This window comes from Homo sapiens, chromosome X (genome assembly GCF_000001405.40).
Source record: "Homo sapiens chromosome X, GRCh38.p14 Primary Assembly".
In the NCBI taxonomy this organism is placed as follows: domain Eukaryota; kingdom Metazoa; phylum Chordata; class Mammalia; order Primates; family Hominidae; genus Homo; species Homo sapiens.
The window spans coordinates 51,310,911-51,331,455 of record NC_000023.11 but is presented as its reverse complement, the minus strand read 5'-3'; the positions used below and the strand labels follow the sequence as shown (position 1 = coordinate 51,331,455).

The 20,545-nt window shown below is 40.4% G+C and overlaps 1 long non-coding RNA gene across 8 annotated transcripts in view; it reads left to right on the top strand.

Annotated features, from left to right (window-relative positions):
- LOC105373204 (uncharacterized) overlaps window positions 1-20,545 on the top strand; it is a 175,604-nt gene that overhangs the window by 65,131 nt on the left and 89,928 nt on the right. For 4 of the 8 annotated variants that reach the window (XR_007068234.1, XR_007068236.1, XR_007068232.1 and 1 more), the window contains one exon: window positions 1,891-7,112. This is a non-coding gene — a long non-coding RNA (uncharacterized LOC105373204). Of the gene's footprint in view, window positions 1-1,890; window positions 7,113-20,545 lie in introns of those variants that run through there. The other 4 variants (XR_007068238.1, XR_007068233.1, XR_007068235.1 and 1 more) reach the window with 4 other exon arrangements.

The window sequence follows — 20,545 nt, the reverse complement described above, 5'->3', positions numbered from 1 at the left end:
TCTACTCAGAGCTTTGAAACATGATTTGAATGAATCACGAGACACTCTAGCAAAACTAGCAGACTAGTGGGGTGTCTGGGTTCGAGAGGGGCCAATCCAGGCTCCGGCCACAGGGCAGGGCTGCTTCACAATTGCCAGGTACTGTCTCCTTTGTCTCACAAGAAAGAGGTGCCATTTTCTAGTCTATTCCATCAGTATCAGTTCTACATCACACCGTGCCTCTGCAATAGGTCCCTTCCGGGGGCATACTTGTGGCAGGGAAGAGGAATAGGACATTATAACATGGAAAGAGGCACAGACTGAAACCCTACTGGAAAAGTCTGGATATGGAGACCCACAACTTAAAACAGGCTTAATACAATAGCAAGGGAATTTTTTAATTACCTTTTCCCCAAACTTTCACAGCTGACATAGTTTGGATACTTGTCCTTGCCCAAATCTCATGTTAAATTGTAATCCCCAATGGTGGAAGTGGGGCCTGGTGGGAGATGTTTGGATCATGAGGGCGGATCCCTCATGGCTTGGTGCTGTCTGTGTGATAGTGAGTGCTCACAAGATCTGGTGACTTAAAAGCAAGTGGCACCTTCCCCTGTCTTGCTCATGCTTTCGCTATGTGATGCATCTACTCCCCCTCTGCCTTCTGCCACCATTGTAAGCTTCCTGAGGCGACCCCAGAAGCTGAGCAACTGTTGGCACCATGCTTCCTGTAAAACCTGCAGAACCATGAGCCAATTAAACCTCTTTTCTTTGTAAATTACCCAGTCTCAGGTATTTCTTTATAGCAATGTGAGAATGGCCTAATAACTTTATTATTCATCTATAATATAGTAACAAGGCAAGAAAAGCTAAGACTTTTGTAACGATAGTAAAAATCCTTTTTAAGAGAACAGCATTCCTCTGTCTGGTTTTGCATATTTAAGTATTTCTCCAATGATGAGCAGTGTAATTCAGGAATCACTGTAGTAGTAGATTGTTACAGTGAAACTGCAATTTGTTCGTGGAAGCCTGTATCTCCTTCCACACTGTCATTGTTTCTGGTCTTGGCCATGTAATTTGTTGTGTCCAGTGGGACAATAACAAATGTGAACAGAAGTCAGCAGAGAACTGAAAGGTGCTTGCACACTGGGGTATCCTCTCTCTTTTCGCTCTTGAAACATTGTGACAGCAATGTGAGGAAGGCTGGCCAGGCTAGCTGGATGATGAGATACCTGTGGCAGATTCTTCCCTTTCACCCCAGCTGACAGTGAAACCGTTGCCCAACATATGGGTGAGGCCATCCTAGACCATTCGCCCACAAGCAGAACTACTTAGGTCATAAGAGAGCACTAGCTGAAGATGCATAACTAAGCCTAGCCATGAACAGCAAAAAAAAAAAAAAAAAAGCAAACAAACAAACAAGAAAACCCACTCAGATGGGACCAGCTGAAATTATTGACCTGCAGAATTGTGAGTAAAATAGTTTACTGTTTAAAGCATAAAATTTGGCAGCGCTTTGTTATGCATTAAAAACTAGCTGCTCCAACCATTGACATGATACATAAAAATCAACCAAAAACAATCAGAGAAAGACAAGATTGTTCGCTGTAGAAATGTAACATCTACTTAAAAATGCTGGCATTTCACTTTCCCTGGAGTCAGAAAGGGATGAAGTTAAGACATCTAACGTGTTGAGTACAGTCCCTGTGAGAGGTCCTGTGTTACGCCCTGCATTCTATTTAACTGTTATCTCATTAACTCATAGGGAGGGAGGCAGTTCATAAGTCCATTTTACAGAAGAGAAAATGAGGACTTAGAGTGGATTTTGTATTCGAGTTTAAGGCTTCATGTCTCCATACCCTGCACACTCAAAAAATCAACATGTCTTAAGAGAAGGATTCTTCTTATCCACAGCTATGGTTGTTGCGGCCTTTGTTGATGACATTCAGCATTGACTTCTTGGGTAAGGTATTCAGTAGTTAAGATTCAATGACTCCAGTGAAAGGTATGTTTCCATCGTGATGTTCTTCTTCTGGACAATAAGTGAAAAGAGCATGTGAGTACCTCTCTCACTCCCAGCAAATAATTGTTGTGTCACCTCCACATGTTTCTTCACGATTCGAGGCTTTGATTTCCCCTGCAAGACAAAATGCAATGAAGTGATACAGAAAAAAAGAAATTCTATGCTGTCATCACACTAGACCATGATGTTGATTTATGGATGGTCTGCTTTCTTATATGCACTTAATATTTTTGTACAAGCAAACCTGAAAAGTGTCAAAATCCCCTTTAACAGATTAACAGGCTGAGATGGGTTAAAGTGAGCAAGCCGGGAAGTGGTGGAGCTGGGATCCACACCCTGGTCTGTCTGAGTCCAGATGTAATCATCTTGCATTCACTATGGCATGTTTCCCTTATGTTAAGGGTTGCTGACATAGACAGTGCATGTCATTCCTTTTGGTATGGTCTTCCTCCTTTCTAGCTTTTTTCTGCCTGGAAGATCCAGGCACCCAAGAGAATGGAGCTTCCATGTAAATTTGCAGAATCCCTAGGATGAAAGCGGAGAGGATCTACCCTGAAACCAACAAGTCTAGGATGCACATCTCTGCCTTTTTTTCAGAATTAGGAAGGGGCAGGCAGATGGGCAATTGACAGGAATAGTAGAAGCATCCTCGGGGAAGTTGGCTACTTTACTTAGTGAGAAAGCAATGGAAAGTGACATTTGTAACTGAGTTTTAAGTGAAGTACAGTCCTAAGAGAGGAGCTCTGAAAAACAGCTGTTACCTGAGATTGGGAATGTTAAAGACCTTCTCAGAGCCTGACTGTACTCACAGCTGGACCTAGCTATCAGAAGAGGGACTGCAACATACCTGAGAAACTTTCAGAATACTTAACGGAAGCAGAGTCAGGGGAAGTGATTTTGATAGTAGTCCATGAGAAAAAAATACGGTGTTTTAAAATGCAAATGAACTAAAATTTAAATCCTGCTCTCTCAGTAGCTATGCAGCCTTAGGCGAGTTAATATCTTTGACCTTAGTATTTCTCAGGTGTAAAGAGGGATAATTACCTACTCAGAACTTCACCTCTCCCAAGAAAGCTTTCCTGACCATGTGCTGGCCCTTCCTTTACATTGGGATTAAAGTACCCCCCCCCGTTTTTCCAGGCTTTCTTGACTTTAATTCTGTCATAGCTCTAATTAAGAACCTCTGTAATGATCTGTCTGCAAGCTTGTGAGAAATTTGAGGACTGGGAACCAGCCTGAAACATGTCTGTTCCCCTCTGAGTCAACACAGTGCCTGGGATCTGGTGTCCAGTAGGGATTTAAAGCATATTGATTGAATGAGAAATGATGACAGGATCTACATGGATCACAAAGGATAGTTGTTATTTTACCTGTTAACTATTTAATAGCGAAATTAAATGAAATATGAATTAACCTAGGACCAGGGAAGGTGGGGTAAGTTGTGTCTTTCACATCAACCTTCATATGTTCCCCAATTTTTTCTTCCTTCATGTACCTAGGACACTCTTGTTCAAACACAAAGGTGGTTTTATTTTGGGTCTATACTAGCTAGTTCCCTAGAAAGGTCTTAAATACAAAATGAATGGAATACAAAATAACCTCCCTCATTGTTTTTTTTCCCGGACAAATGACAGGATGCATACAGAACTGCTACTTTTGTGATGTTGCAAGTAATGGTATAGATGTGCACAAATCATGGATGTGGTCCCAGTGATCCATGGAAATGTGAAGTCCAGGTGAGCACCGCCTCTCTCATAAAGATGCAGCACACCTTGATTTCTCCCACTTCTTTGCTCAGTACCTGATCCTGCCTCACTGCTGTCACCCTCCTTTTCCCTTTTCTCTACACTGCGGAGACTTCTAATTCAGACACCAAACCCTTTCTAGTGTCCCTGTGTTTATGTATCAGAGTAAAATGTTAAATGCTTCCAAAACATACGAGGCCCTACAACATCTGGCCAATTTCCTCCTCAAAGTTGCCCCTACTACTCCCCATGGGCCACACATCTCTAGTGGACCTGGACTCTGCAGCTTCTGGGTTGTGTCAGGCAGGCTCCTTCCCTCCTCAGGGCCTTTGCTCTAGCCATTCCCTCTGCTTGGATTGTTCCTGTCCCTTGTCTACAAGGATAACTTCCTCACTCACCTTGAGGCCTTGATCACTTCTCACCTTCTAGATGAGGCCTACCCAGGCCACCTTATGATGGACTGCTAAACCCACTCTTCCTTGCCACCCTGTCGCTGATACCCCAGATCCTCTTTTCCTTGGCCCAAGTGTCCTTTCTATTATAGTATTTTGCATCTAACAGACTATTTAATTACTTATTGATGATTATTGCTGTTCTCTCTCCAGCTATAATGGCTCCTGCTAGAGTATTAGCTCCTGATGGTAGGGATCTTTGTCTCTTGCTCACTGGTATATCTCAAGCAGCCCAGATCTCATCTCTGGTGAGCATACATTGGAGTCACTCAGAAAATACCTGTGGATGTAATGAATGTGTTTGTGTCCTGTGCTAGATGGGAGACTTGTGAGAGAAAGGGCCATGTGTTGTTGGTCTTTGTAAACCTACCATCCACACTCTCTGATACAACCAGAAGGGCAGTACTGAATAGTCGTTGAATTAATTAATCTTTTGAAAATGACACTTATAGGGAAAACATTCTCTTTGCATTCTGCAGCTTTTCCAGTGGTTGCCATTTGTTTCGGCACCATATAGGTACCAGATGCCATAGGCAGAATCTGGCACCATATAGGTACCAAATGCCATAGAAAGGCAGCCATGGGATACCTGAAGGCCAGAAGTCTGATTCATTTTCCGTGGCATCTTCACAGGGTAGCACAGTTCCTACCACACAGCATGACTTGTGGTGGTGTTTTCAGATCTTGGTCATTCATTGCCTAAATTGTTTTGGTTTTATCTGGACAGGACATATACTATGATTTACATATTGCATTTTATTTTCACAAGACAGTGGCTTTCAGAAAGAAACACAATTATATAATTAAACACAAAGCAGAACGATTTACAAAAAAGTTGAAAACAAAGTGGAAGCTATTGTTTTGTAATAGGATACATAACAATGGATGGGCTATAGTAGGCACTTCATGTACCTTTTTTATTTAACCCTAATGAAAACCCTTCAATCACAATGTTGTCATTCCCATTTTCAAAAGAGAGAAGATTGAGATCTAAGGCCTTATGTAACTTGGCCAGTATCTGACAGCTAGGAGGTATCTGAATGAGGTGGAATCTTCCAGGCTCATTGATGAGAACACTCCACAAAGATGGCCGTATAGGCAGACCCCCACCGCTTAACTTGCCCCTGGAGTTCTCTCTGCTCCCCTCCCCGTTTCTCATGCACACATCTCTGCAACATTTTCCTCCCATCTCCTAATACTTTCAGAAGCTCCTCGTCTTAGAGGTTGTTCTCCTGCTCCTTTGGTCAAGTGCTGGAAAATTCAACACTAATTTCTGCAGAGGTAGAGGAATGGAGTTTGTTTCAAGTCCTTGTGAAGGGATAGAATGATTGGTACTTACAGCTGCTTCAAGGTCTTGATGAGGCTGGATCTGGAGGAGGGTCTTTTATGCAAGCTAGTCCCTGCATGAGAGGATTCCGGTCTTGGAAGGATGCCTTCCCCTCCACAAAGACATCTGGCCAGCCCACAAGGAAGATAGTTTACTTATCAATGACACTGTGTACCCACAGGCTCAGGCCAGTTTCGTCAGAAGCAGAACAGGCTTTCCAAGGTCACCAAGCTGTTCTAAACTTCACCGATTCATTAGAGAAAGGCAACAAGACAGAGGCATGTTTGGTATCAAAATTGTGATCAGGAAGATGGCTGCATTCCCTGTTCCATGGTAAAACATCTCATACCACCAATGAACTCAGCCAGTTCTAGAGAGATTTCCACCATGATAGAACGTTTCTGACTGTGGGCTCAGGGCCAGCCATTCTCTGGGAGTGCAAGATGGAAAAATATGAGGCTTCCCTTTCCTCTTTTCAATCTTTTTCCAGGTTATTTATTTCGCGGCAAGTTTGAAAATCAGTAGTTCTGTTAGGAGTTTTCCTACACTACAATAGTATATCCTATGAGTGAATAGCCATCACAATCTTAGATTCTTTCCCTTTAGCTTTGATCAAATAGCTTTTACTACCAAGCTACATCGCAGAAGGAAGCATCCTTGATTTTTGTGTCAGATGAACTTCTCATTGTGTAGAATTCACAAAATTCTAATAAAGAAATTATATTGTGGGAAAATGGTATTGCTTTACTGCAATATCAGAATATATAATAATTGCTTTTTCAGGGCCCACTATGTATCAGGTGTTTTATATATCTTACTGATAGTTTTCTTAAAATCCCTGTGACGTACGAATCTTTCTTCCAGTTTCACAGATGAGGAAATTTAGGCTCAGAAGGATAGATTACTTGTCCCTGTTCACACAGCTCGGAGGTGCAGAGCTGGGATTTAAGAGGCATGCATCACAATCCATTGCCTACATTGGTCAGCGGTATTCCTACATTTTACATAGTCTTGGAAAGAAATCCCTGTGTCTCTGAAAGTCACTAATGTAAATTTTAAAATTCCATACTGCTGTTATGTCATCCTTCTATTTTAGAGTTTGACTTATGACAAACGGTATTTTTCCTTTCCTGTGAAATATTTAGTTTAGTTTACAACAATATATTTAGGGTTGGCAGCTTTGAAAATGTGTATATATGAATAAGTTAAATAATGTTGATTTACCCCTTTTTGTGTGCTGAAAACTGCTATGTACTGTGTAGAGGCCCATGAACTAATGAATTTGCTTTCTCTCCCTGTGACACCTACCAGCTTCTAGAATACTTTGCATGGCTCCTGATACACAAAAGCCACACATAGCGTACCTATGTGGAAAGTAACCAGTGTACAGCCTCCAGTTTGGAAGTGGGTGTTTTTGCTATCAGTGTTTCAGTATGAAATGTATTCGTTCAGCAAACCCTCTGCAATGCCTGTGTGTCTCATGCAGTGTACCTGACTGATAGAGCATATGTAAAGACCAAGTAAAAACTGGCCCTTATTCATAACCATCTCCTAGGAAAACAAAGCAATAAAAGAATGTAAATTCTCAATTATAGTCTGCACAGGGTGTATTTGCTGTGAAAGAGGGGAAAAGAGGGAGAGGATACAAGAAATTTGACGGAGAAAGAGTAGAGGAAATAGGAGCAGGACTCACATCTGGCAGACTGAATCCTTGTGACTATGAATATGCATGTCTGTGCTTGAAAATGCTGTTATTTGTGGGTTCAGAGGCTTGATTTCATATTCCTGCATGTTTGTGCCTTTCACCTAAACACTTAAATAATTGGATTAGCAATCTTATATTCATTCATTAATCTCTCCAGTTAATTTATTTTTAAACAATCACTTGTAAAACCTAGGGGAATTTCTAAATTAATCCCACTGTGAGGACATTTCAGAAACTGAGAGATTATTAGAAAGGCCAACATCAATTATGAAGCCAGGAATTCAGCAATACACGGGTACTAGAAGCTATTGACAAATGGGAGCTAGGTTAAAAGAAAGTCCCCATGTTTCATGCACTGTGGTAGGCTGTGGGTTTGTCAGGGACATTCAGGAACTTTGCAGGTGTCTCATGCAGAAAATCATGCGGGCATATCCTAACCCCACTGCCAGTGGTCTGTAAAGATTTGTCACAGTTATTTATCCAGGAGGTGTTTTACACTCACACACCCACACATGCATGCACACACACACACACACACCTCTTATAAATTAGAATCCTGGAACACTGATTGAATCACAGAGCTAGCTGGTGTTAGAGACTCTAAAGCCTCAAGGAATGTCTATCATACGTGTTTTCCATAATAAGTTATTTAGTTTAATTCAGAGCCACTGCCTGCCATTCCTCTGGCTTTGCTTGTCTGTTTTGGCCCCGCAAGAGAACCCTGAAATTGAAGTCTCTGCCTCATTTAAAAGGCAGGGACAGAAGGGGCAGCCCCAGCATCTGAGCCCTTCACACTGAGAATGACACCATCTTACCTGGAAGTGTCCTCCATTGTTGCTGTCACACTTGAAGCTGCCTGTTCTCACAGCTATATTGCAATCAGTCTTCACTACATAACATTTAGCATTCTTGGCCCTTGGCGTTTAGCTATACCTACTTTAATTTGCACCTTAGAGCTATATAGGTTATGGCTGAGCCAGATATTAGTCTTCATCCTCCGCAGTGGTTTAGACAACGCAGTGCATCACTTTAACCACAACAGATTCCATATAGTAATAACTTAAATACCTGTATATTAGTTTCCTATTGCTTCATTAAAAATTACCACCCACTTAGTGGCTTAAAGCAGCATACATTTATCATTTCACAGTTTCCATAAGTCTGCCATGGATCAACTGTGTTCTCCGTTTAGGACCTTGCAAGGCTGAAATCAACTTGTCACTCTCACAGACACACCCAGGATTATGTTTGCTCAAATGTCTGGGCACCCCGTGGCTCAGTCATGTTGACACATAAAATTAACCATAACACCAAGCGTCTTGACACAGCTTGTAAATTAACCATTATATTTTAATTCCCTTTTTATCTTAAATGATCTATTTCCCTGTTTTCATACCTATAAAATGGAGCTGTGAATAATTTTACTTTGTTAGTTTCATGTTTATTAATTTTAAGGTTATATGTGTGAATAGGCAAAACAGTTAATCAGGCAGTTGATGTTCTTTACTGCAAAAGGGAACTTTTACCATGTGGCATGCAGACTTTTAATAGTTATGAAATTTTTACCACATAGCAAGTTCTTCTACAAGCTCTTTAAATGCTTTACCTCATTTGATTCCTAAGTACCTTTATTATCCCTATGTTCATAGGAAGACATTTTGTATAACACACAGAAGCTAAGTAATTTATCCTAAATGACATCTTTTAAGTGGCAGGCCCAGGATTGGAATCTATGACTGTAGAACCAGTCTTCCTATCCAATTATTGTGACCATATAATTTATCATTCAAACACGTCAAAGAGAGAAATATTAAAATTATGCCTCCACAATTGGCATAAGACAAAAAGTCAGACATATCAAGCCAATTGCTCACTACATGACAGTTTTGTTTTTTTTTGTTTTGTTTTTTTTTTGCTTACACCTAACAGAAAAATCTTACTTAGACTGGCTAAATCAAAAAGCAAGTTCATAATCTCACAGCATTTGTAACATCCTCATGACATGACTTTTTCTTCCTCTACTATGTTGTTCCTGTCAACATACATACTGGTGTTATTTTTGCCATGTTAAAAAAAATGCAAACACCAAAAACCTGTTTACCTCACTCCTTTTACTTGCTTAGTGCCATTTATCTGTTCCCCAATTGCAAGCTTCCCACAGAGCGTTGTCTATGGTCACTGTGTCCCATTTCTCTCCTCCTATTCTGTCTTAATCATACTTCAGCCAGGCCTACGCACCTTCCACTAAACAAACTGTTCTTGTCAAGGTAACCATGACACCAATATTTCTAAATCGAATGGCTATTTCGCAGTCTTCTCCTTAATTTACCTATTTATACTTTTGGATAGAGTTAGTGTGGGCGGTGGCTTGCTCCTGTAATCTCAGCACTTTAGGAGGCCAAGGAGAGGGATCACCTGAGGTCAGGAGTTCAAGACCAGCCTGGCCAACATGGGAAAACCCTGTCTCTACTAAAAATACAAAAATTAGCTGGGTGTGGTGGCACAGGCCTGTAATCCCAGCTACTCAGGAGGCTGAGGCAGGAAAATCACTTGAACCCAGGAGGTGGAGGTTGCAGTGAGTGGAGACTGCGCCATTGCACTCTAGCCTGGGCAATAAGAGCGAAACCCTGTCTCAAATATGTATATATATATATGAGACATATATTGGATAGAGTTGATCAATCCCTCTACCCGGAAGTCCTTTCTTTCCTGAATTCTAGTACAATACTCTCTTGGTTTTTCTGTGACCTCATTAGCTGTAACTCCTGAGTCTCCTTGGCTGATTCTCCTCCTTTCCTCGTGATCTCTTGACATTGAAGTGCCTCAGAAGTCAATCCTTGGTCTCCTTCTCTTCTCTGCCTACACTCATTACCTTGGTGATCTTATCCAGTAGTGTGGTGTCCTATGTGATCTACACTCTCATCTCTGTCCAGTTTAGATAGCTGACCTAAACTCCACAGTCTGTTTCCAATTGCCCACTTGGCAAGTCCACATGCATGTTAAACAAACATTTTGATTTTAACTGTGTAAAAATTGGATATCTTATTTCATTCCCCTGATTTCATCTACTTTCATTCTTCCTCATTTCAGTTAAAGTTAACCTTATCTTTTTAGATGCTCACTTAGAAACAGTGGTGTCAATCTTGGCATTAAATTTATCCGGAAATACTGTTGGGCCTGCATTCTAAATATATTGAGAATGTGAGCAATTCTGTCCCCCTCCACTGTACCACTTCATTGTAAGCCACTACAATTTCTTGCCTGGATTATGGCAATAACATTTTTACTGGTTCATTTCCCTATACCTTTGTTTCTAATGATTAGTCTCATCCCAGCAGCCAGAGGTATCCTTTTGAAACCTGGGTCAGATTATGCCACTCCTCTGTCATTGTTCTCGGTCTAATTGAGAGAAAAAAAATATCAAAGCATTGGCATGGGCTGCAAGTTCCTATGTGATTTGATATTCTGTTACTTCTCTAAAATCCAACAACTCCCCCACTAGATCCCACTACATCATCCGTACCTATGATAGTCATACTTTCAACTAAAGGCTTTTTACTGGCTGTTCTCTCTGCCTGAAATATTCTTCCTCCACATATTTAATGGTTCATTTCATCAACTTCATTAGATTTTGCTCAAATGTCACATTGAGAGAGAGCCCTATCCTCTCCAACTTCTCAGCCCTATCCAACTTCTCTGCCTTCCAGATCTTTAACTTCCTCTAACTTTTTCCATACCATTATAATCTTATGACATACAATTGGATGTAATTGTTTTATTTACTGTTTGTATAATTACATGAAAATATGAGTTCCATGAGACCAGACACAGTTGTCTGCTTTGTTTGCTGTAGTATCTTTAGAGCCCACATGGTACCTGGCAGTTAGTTATTCTTCATTAAATATTTGGTCTATTTCCAAAATAGACCTGAAATCAAAAGTAGGTGGATTCCATGCAAGGAGAACTCCAGCTCAAGGATGCCTTGAAGGGTTCAGATTTTTTTCCTCTCTTCTGTGCCACTCTCAATGCCCTTAACGTACTGGTCTCAATGTGGCTGAAGCACTTTTAGGTCTCTGATTTTGACATGGTAATGTTTACAGACAGAAAGGAATATATCTTCCAATGTGCCCTTTCAAAGAGGCAAGACCTGTGACATAGTATTTTCCAGAAGATATCCCCACAATCAACTCCAACATATGGGACTGAATTAGGTCACATGCCTGTTTCAAAACCAGTGAATGTCAAGAATATTGGAATTGCCATGACTGGCTTAGATAAACAGAAGACAGAATGGATGTTGGGGAGTCAATGACAATGTCCACTGAAATACATCAGTGCCCTGGTGTGATTGGATGTGTGTGTGTGTGTGTGTGTGTGTGTGTGTGTGTCTATGAGCCTGAAAAAGAGGTAATTTCTGGTACACAAGTGTTACAAAATGAAAAGAAATGCATTAAGGTTATTAATCGGTTTAATTAAGGTAATTAAGATGGGGAAAGAGCTGACATCTTGCATAGATACATTTTGTCTGTTAATGGTATGAGGCTAGCATCATTCAATATTTCCATCTCATACTAGGTAATGCTTTGACAGTGGGACCAGAAATCATGTAGAGACTTGTTTTTCCCACACAATGCCTATATGGGTGTTTCCAGTATTTCCTTTCATGGATGACTGACAAACCCCCTCCTGACTGATACATTCTTCATGTGGCCATATTAATACCTTTATTCAAATCTTGGTGTTTCTTTGACCTGGAATCAATCTTATTCTTTTTTCTTGGTTTCAGCTTAAAGTGCATAAAACGGATATACAAAGATAAATAATGAATAGTTATAAAGCGAAAGCCTGTGTAACCACAACCCAAAACAGTGAAATGAAATATTGATAAAACGCTAGAACCCCTTATGTCCCTTTCCCTGCCACAACTGTCTGTTTCCTCAATGGACGTTCCTACCATCCTGCTCATTGTTTAGAATCTCTACTTTGCTGCTTATTATAGCTTTCCCACCTGTGTAAACAACTCTAAACTATCTTGTTTAGTTTGTAGCAATTTTTACAGAATCATATTTCTGCTCAGAGTTTTTAGAGTACACTTAAAGAGTAACCTTATTTAACTTGGTTATAGAGGCTTTTAGAAATATTTAAAAGCAAGCCCTCTTTTCCACATTAAAGAGACAACAGATATTCCTTGGATACCTACTGTGTGCTTAGGCGTGAAGAAGGTACCGGCGTATCCATGAGCACTAAATTTTGCTGTCTACCTTCACTGAGATTAGAATCTAGTTGAGAAGATAGTGCCTAATAATAGTGTACAGTGTTAGAACTGAATACAGCTCAGTTATGCAGCAAGGCCCTGGGTATTGCAGTGAGGCATTTCATGTACCACCTCTTATTGGCTCTGTGACTCTGAGAAAGTCTCTCCACCCCTCTGAGCCTGTGTATTCACTTTGAAAAAGGAGATAGATATAAAATCTGCTCCCCAGAATTTTTGTGCATGGTATATTTAGGCTCCAAATGAATGGCAGATATTTTTACTATGGTACATTGGGCTAGTCAGAAGGATGGCTGAAAATAGTTACATTCCCACTGAACATACAGGTAGCACATATAGAAGCCTAGGGACCTTAGTACACACTAAATGTTAAAGTGAGGATATTTGGCTCCAGGAAAACACATAGGCAGCTAAGTGGAATGGTAAGAGACTAGATATTAAGATCAGAAATGTTTGGGCCAATAATTTTAATAAGGATGAAAGGTATCCTTTGTTGAGTAATTAATTATATGAGTCTCAAAACTTAGGATCTTATCTCTGGTAGGCACCTCAGAGACATGGTTAGATCTGAGTCCTTGGAACCAGAACTGTCTAATCAAATGTTGTCCTCTAAAAACCAAAAGGAATAAAAAAACAATGTGAGTTAACTTTTATTGTGTACTCGCCCTGTCCGAGATATTGCTGAAAACATATGTGCATCATCTCGTTTAATCCTTACCATGGCCCTAGGAGGTAGGTAAGCTCAATGATTATCCTTTCTTACAGGTCAAAAACTTTGAATTCAGAAATATGTATTTATTGTGGAATGGCTAAATCAAGCTCATTAACATGTACATTATTACCTCTCATACTTAACATTTCTTGTGGGGAAAACACAAAATCTACTCTCAGTGATTTTCGAGAATACAATACAGTGTTATTAACCATAGTCACCATAACGTACAGTGGGTCTCTTGAACTTATTCCTCCTATCTAACTGAAAATTTGGATCCTTGATGAACCGCTCACCAACCACCTCCTCTCAATTTCCTTGTAGCTAGGATTCTACTCTCTCCTTCCACGAGTTCAACCTTTTTAGATTCCACACATAAATAAGATCCTGCAGTCTTTGTATTTCCCTGCCTGGGTTACTTCCATTAACAAAATGTCATCCAGGTTGTCGCAAATGACAGGATGTCTTTTGTTTTTGTTTTTTAGAGACAGGGTCTCTCTCTGTCACCCAGGCTGCAGCGCAGTGATGTGATCATGGCTCACTGCATCCTTGACCTCTGGGACCCAAGAGATTGTCCCAACTCAACCTCCTGAGTAGCTGGGACCACAGGCATGTGCCACCATGCCATATGAATTTTTATTTTTTTGTAGAGACAGGATCTCACTATGTGGCCCAGGCTGGTCTCAAATTCCTGGGCTCAAGCAATCCTCCCGCCTCAGCCTCCCAAAGTGCTGGGAGTACTGGCATGCATCATCATGCTCAGGCAGGATTTCCTTCTTTTTTAAGGCTCAATAGAATTCCATTATCTCCTACATTTTCTTGATTCATTCATCTATTGTTGGACACTTAGTTTGATTCCATATCTTAACTGTTTTCAATAGTACTGCGATGAACACGGGAGTGACAAGAGCCTTTCAACACTTAATAAGTTGGCATTGTACTGTCATGAAGAGCTTTCCCATTGTATTAGTCACAGTTCTCTAGAGGGACGGAACTAATAGGATATATGCCTATATGAAAGGGAGTTTATAAGGAGAATTGACTCACACGATCACAATGTAAAGTCCCATGATGGGCCGTCTGCAAGTTGAGGAGCAAGGAGGCCACTGGTGGATCAGTCTGAGTCCCAAAACCTCAAAGGTAGGGAAGCCGACAATGCAGCCTTCAGTCTGTGGCCAAAGGCAGGAGAGCCCCTGGCAGACGACTGGTGTAAGATGATAGGTGTAAGTCCAAGAGTCCAAAAGCTGAAGAACTTGGAGTTTGATGTTCCAGGGCAGGAAGCTTCCAACACGAGAGAAAGATGAAGGCCGGAAGACTCACCAAGTCTGCTCTTCCATCTTCTTCTGCCTGCTTTATTATAGCCATACTGGCAGCTGACTAGATGGTGCCCACCCAGATTGAGGGTGGGTCTGCGTTTCCCAGCCCACTGACTCAAATGTTAATCTCCTTTGGCAACACCCTCACAGACACACTCAGGAACAATACTTTGCATCCTTCAATCCAATCAAGTTCACACTCAATATTAACCATCACACACATCTTCCTCATTTATTAGCTTATTTATGTATTTACTTACATCATTATGGGCTCATGGGTATATATTTAATCACTGGGTAATAACAGATTATCATCAAAATTTATTTTGATATTCAAATTGGCCCAGATTGGGCTAGTTGAAGCTCCTTGAAACTTCCTGCATGTTATTGTCCTATCTTTATCTTAGCTGGAACACTTTCTTTACTTTCTAGTGCAACAAGATGTTCCTGGCTGTTTGTACTTTCCCTGTTCCAGCCTTTGAGTCAGACATTTCTCTAAAGCGCCTCTGTTTGTTTTAGTGTGGAATGATTTTTACAAGCAAGTCTGCACTCTGAATCACCTGTCTCTACTGACAATATGACTTTGAAACCCTCCAAACTTTCCTTAATTCTATTTACCCAATATGTAAATGCACATAAAAATAGGATTTTTGTTTAGGTATGTTGTGAGGTTTAAAATAAGTTATTGAAAACATTTAGCAAAGAATGTGGCACAAAAGTAATTTTTGTAATTTGACCATTTGAACATTAGAATGAGTAATAATAATAATAATAATAATAATAATAGGTTGTGACCCAGTGAATAAAACCAGAATCCATAAGGCCATTTGAAAATAAGTGTTAGCTATTTTATCATCATTTTGTTACTATCAAATACTCTTGTCAGTGAATAAGTTTTGCCCTGTGAAAAATTTCAAGTTGACACTTATAGCCTTGTCAAGCCAAAGTAAGATCCACAGAATCACAGAGCTTGTGAAAGTACAAATATGGAGGAATGATTCCAGAAGCAGGCAGGCCTTAGGCCTTGATGACTGGTGAGACTTCACCAGTATTCATGAGGAAACAAAAAAGATTAAGCGAAGAGCAGCAACTACTCCTACAACCCCTGCCACCAGAACCATGTATTTCCCCTATCATAGCAGCACATCCACTGTTCTATAAACAATTATTTGTGTCCTCCATTAGACTGAGAGCTGATAGATGTGACTTATTTACCAACTTACCCCAATGCCTGAAATGGTGCCTGTCAGATAAGAGACATTCAATAAATGTTTGCTGAAGGGATGAACGAAAGTATTGAATAATTTCAAATATCTCATGAGGATAATTAATGAGAGAAGGAAACTGAGACCCAGAGAAGTAAGGAAGCATGCCCAAGGTTATACAACTATTATAGTAAGAGAGAGTGAGGTAGAATTCCATCCTGATCTGACTCTAGTAGCTTTGGGTGTATTGGTCTCTCTGGATGCTGAGCCTTCCCAGTAAGATTAACTTGTCCAATTTCCATGTTTCCCAGAGTTCAAATGGGAGTCCCATATGTGCCAAACTATGTATGCAAGACTGTTTCAAGGGTTCAGTAATTAATTCAACAACTATTTATTGATCACTTACTATAGGCCTTATAGGTTCCGGAGATATATCAGTGAGTACAACAGATGGATAACCTCCTCTCATTGATATTCCATTCTGGTGCACAAAGACAGAAAATAAGGGGATACAGAAAACTTAAGATGGTAAAGAAAGTAAAGCTTGATTAACAAATAGAAAATTATACAGCATGTGTGTGTTTGGAGGAGAGAGTTGATATGGAGGTGAGAGGAGGGTTGCTAAGTTCAGAGGACCTGGAGGAGTTTGCTGTGTCTGGAGTTAGAATGGGATATAGGCTGGGAGTTGAAGTGAGAAATTAGAAAGTAGAATCCACAAGAAAATGAGCCACTTAACTTTGAGACTTAGTGTTTTTACTCGGAAAACAAGGATTCAGACATCTGAGATCATGTGTAAAAATGTAGTGTAAAGCTCAAATCTGAAAACATTAATGTTATTCAGCTCATTTCTTGAACAATAATAGCAGCTGGTACTTTTGAATGCTTGCTGTTTGTTAGGCCATATGCTAGTTGCTTTCCATGTTAATTTCATCCGCTGCAATGAAAAGTAGTTAGGGTTTTTATATTTTATACGGTTGGATAGCAGTAGATTCCAGGTATTAGGATTGAAGCCCATGTCCAGTCTGTCAAATTTCAAAACCCTTGTTCTTTTTCACAACTTTGTGCTTCCAGAATTGTAAACAGGCAACTGGTAGTGACCAAGATGAGTTGAGTGGTCAACATTTACAAGGCAGTTATAAAAATTACTTTGCATAGCATTTATAGAATTCTTTTTTTTTGAGGTGCACTTTTTAAAACAAAAATTATTATTATACTTTAAGTTTTAGGGTACATGGGCACAACGTGCAGGTTTGTTACATATGTATACATGTGCCACGTTGGTGTGCTGCACCCATTAACTCGTCATTTAGCATTAGGTATATCTCCTAATGCTATCCCTCCCCCCTCCCCCCACCCCACAACAGTCCCCAGTGTGTGATGTTGCCCTTCCTGTGTCCATGTGTTCTCATTGTTCAATTCCCACCTATGAGTGAGAACATGTGGTGTTTGGTTTTTTGTCCTTGCGATAGTTTGCTGAGAATGATGGTTTCCAGCTTCATTCATGTCCCTACAAAGGACATGAACTCATCATTATTTATGGCTGCATAGTATTTCATGGTGTATATGTGCGACATTTTCTTAATCCAGTCTATCATTGTTGGACATTTGGCTTGGTTCCAAGTCTTTGCTATTGTGAATAGTGCCGCAATAAACATACATGTGCATGTGTCTTTATAGCAGCATGATTTATAATCCTTTGGGTATATACCCAGTAATGGGATGGCTTGGTCAAATGGTATTTCTAGTTCTAGATCCCTGAGGAATCACCACACTGACTTCCACAAGGGTTGAACTAGTTTCCAGTCCCACCAACAGTGTAAAAGTGTTCCTATTTCTCCACATCCTCTCCAGCACCTGTTGTTTCCTGACTTTTTAATGATCGCCATTCTAACTGGTGTGAGATGGTATCTCATTATGGTTTTGATTTGCATTTCTCTGATGGCCAGTGATGATGAGCATTTTTTCATGTCTTTTGGCTGCATAAATGTCTTCTTTTGAGAAGCGTCTGTTCATATCCTTCACCCACTTTTTGATGGGGCTGTTTGTTTTTTTCTTGTAAATTTGTTTGAGTTCATTGTAGATTCTGGATATTAGCCCTTTGTCAGATGAGTAGGTTGCAAAAATTTTCTCCCATTCTGTAGGTTGCCTGTTCACTCTGATGGTAGTTTCTTTTGCTGTGCAGGAGCTCTTTAGTTTAATTAGATCCCATTTGTCAATTTTGGCTTTTGTTGCCATTGCTTTTGGTGTTTTAGACATGAAGTCCTTGTCCATGCCTATGTCCTGAATGGTAATGCCTAGGTTTTCTTCTAGGGTTTTTATGGTTTTACGTCTAACATTTAAGTCTTTAATCCATCTTGAATTAATTTTTGTATAAGGTGTAAGGAAGGGATCCAGTTTTAGCTTTCTACATATGGCTAGCCAGTTTTCCCAGCACCATTTATTAAATAGGGAATTGTCTCCCCATTTCTTGTTTTTGTCAGGTTTGTCAAAGATCAGATAGTTGTAGATATGCGGCATTATTTCTGAGGGCTCTGTTCTGTTCCATTGGTCTATATCTCTGTTTTGGTACCAGTACCATGCTGTTTTGGTTACTGTAGCCTTGTAGTATAGTTTGAAGTCAGGTAGCATGATGCCCCCAGCTTTGTTCTTTTGGCTTAGGATTGACTTGGCTATGTGGGCTCTTTTTTGGTTCCATATGAACTTTAAAGTAGATTTTTCCAATTCTGTGAAGAGAGTCATTGGTAGTTTGATGGGGATGGCATTGAATCTATAAATTACCTTGGGCAGTATGGCCATTTTCATGATATTGATTCTTCCTACCCATGAGCATGGAATGTTCTTCCATTTGTTTGTAGGCAGATACTTAAATAAAAAGAGATATTCACTTTAGCAGTAATTAATACTACAAAAGCCATTGGGGTCTTACAAGGTGAACATTGTAGTATAGTAAGTGAATGAAGCAAAAATTAGTGATTGAAATTAAACATTGTCTCTAACAGAGTGCCTGTTACATGGTGGGTGCTCAATAAATATTAGTTGTATAAGTAACTTTATGCATTATTTTCTCCTTTAATTGGTATTTTGGAGTACTTAATATGTGCTTTACCTGGGCCATGTGTGCTGCCTGAAAAGCTTTCCATGTTTCTTCAGTAAGTACTCTCTCTCATTCTGCACACAGCCTTTTCAAAATCTCTCATCAGACCAATCCTCTCACCTTTTATCTCTCACCATACCCGTTCACAGCATAAAATCCTGCCTACCAAATCACCAAGGAAAGGGAAAATATCTAGTAATTTTTAAATTGTTTTACTACATTATAGTTAATATACCAAAAGGATCATCCATTGTAACCCTAAATTGAGATAACTTATTAGGAAATGTTTACAGTTGCATAAACATCACAACAATCCAGTTCAAGAATGCTTTTGTTATCCATAAATTTTCCCTCATGGCCATTTTTAACAGTTTTTTTGTGATATAATTGTCATATAATAAGTCTTGTGTGTTAAAATTGTACAATTTGAAGTTTTGACATATGTATAGATTTGTAAAACCATCCCTATATTCAAGACAATTAATGTATTCATTACCCCTAAAAGTTTTTCTTTTGACCCTTTGTAATTCATACTTAACACTCTGCCCACCACTCCTTAAACCCATGCAACCATTGAACTGACTTCTGTTATTTTCTTATTAATTTGCACTTCCTAGAGTTTTATGGAAATGGAATCAGATACACTATGTATTTATTTCTTGCTTCTTTCACTCAGATAATTATTCTGAGATTTATCCATATCGCATGTGTCAATACCTCCTTCCTTCTTATTACTAATATTCCATCGTATGACTATGCCACAACTAACCATTCATCAGTTAATGGGCAGTTATGTTATTTCCAGTTTAGGGGTATCACAAATAAAGCTTCAATAGACTTTCAGGTGAAACTTTTTACTTGGTGTCTTAATCTGTTTCATGTTGCTATGAAAGAATACCTGAGACTGAGTAATTTATAAAGAAAAGAGGGGAGGAGGGCAAGATGGCCGACTGGATGCAGCCAGGTGGAATGGCTCCCACTTAGGGACCCAGATGATTGGTGTGCTCCTAACAGATCTTCAGAGGGAAGGCACTGAGAGTGGATGGAGGGAAGACACCGAAGCTGGGCTGAAGAGGGAGAAAGCTGGGAACCCTACGTGGGGCTACCCCTCACTGGGACTCATTCCTGGCCCACAATGGCTTGAGGGGAATTGGGTGAGTTGAACTGGCAAAGAGCAACCCACTTTCACCACGGGCCTCTGGAACCCAGCAGGAGGAGACCCTTCAACCACCAGAGAAACTAGAGTTAGCAGGGAAAGCTAATAGAGAAGTGGTAGGGGCAGCAAACTAGATGACGTGGAGCTCACACGGTTTGGTGCAAAAGTGTCTGTAGCAGAGCATGGCCAGAGATGGCCATTACCCTAAGCTTGAATTGCTTCCTATAGGAGACTCTAGACCTAGGGGAGCTGTCAGACCTGAACTCTGCAGGGTGGTCTTGCCCATCAGTCAAGGCTGGTCCGACCTGAGCACCCCTTGGTTTGCTGGCCTCTCCTGGGACCCCAGCCTGGTCATTCCTGCTTGCGTGCAGTCTCAGGTGCTATGGGGGCCCACACAATAGCTTCTGTGCTGGTGGACCATGACTGACTGGTGGAGAGCTCCAACTCCAGCAGGGCAGCCCCTACAGACACACAACAGCCCACCTACTCCCTCCCCATACAGCAGCTTCCCCCATGACCACAGCAACTCCCCACATCACTTTGCTGGCACCTGTTTGCATGG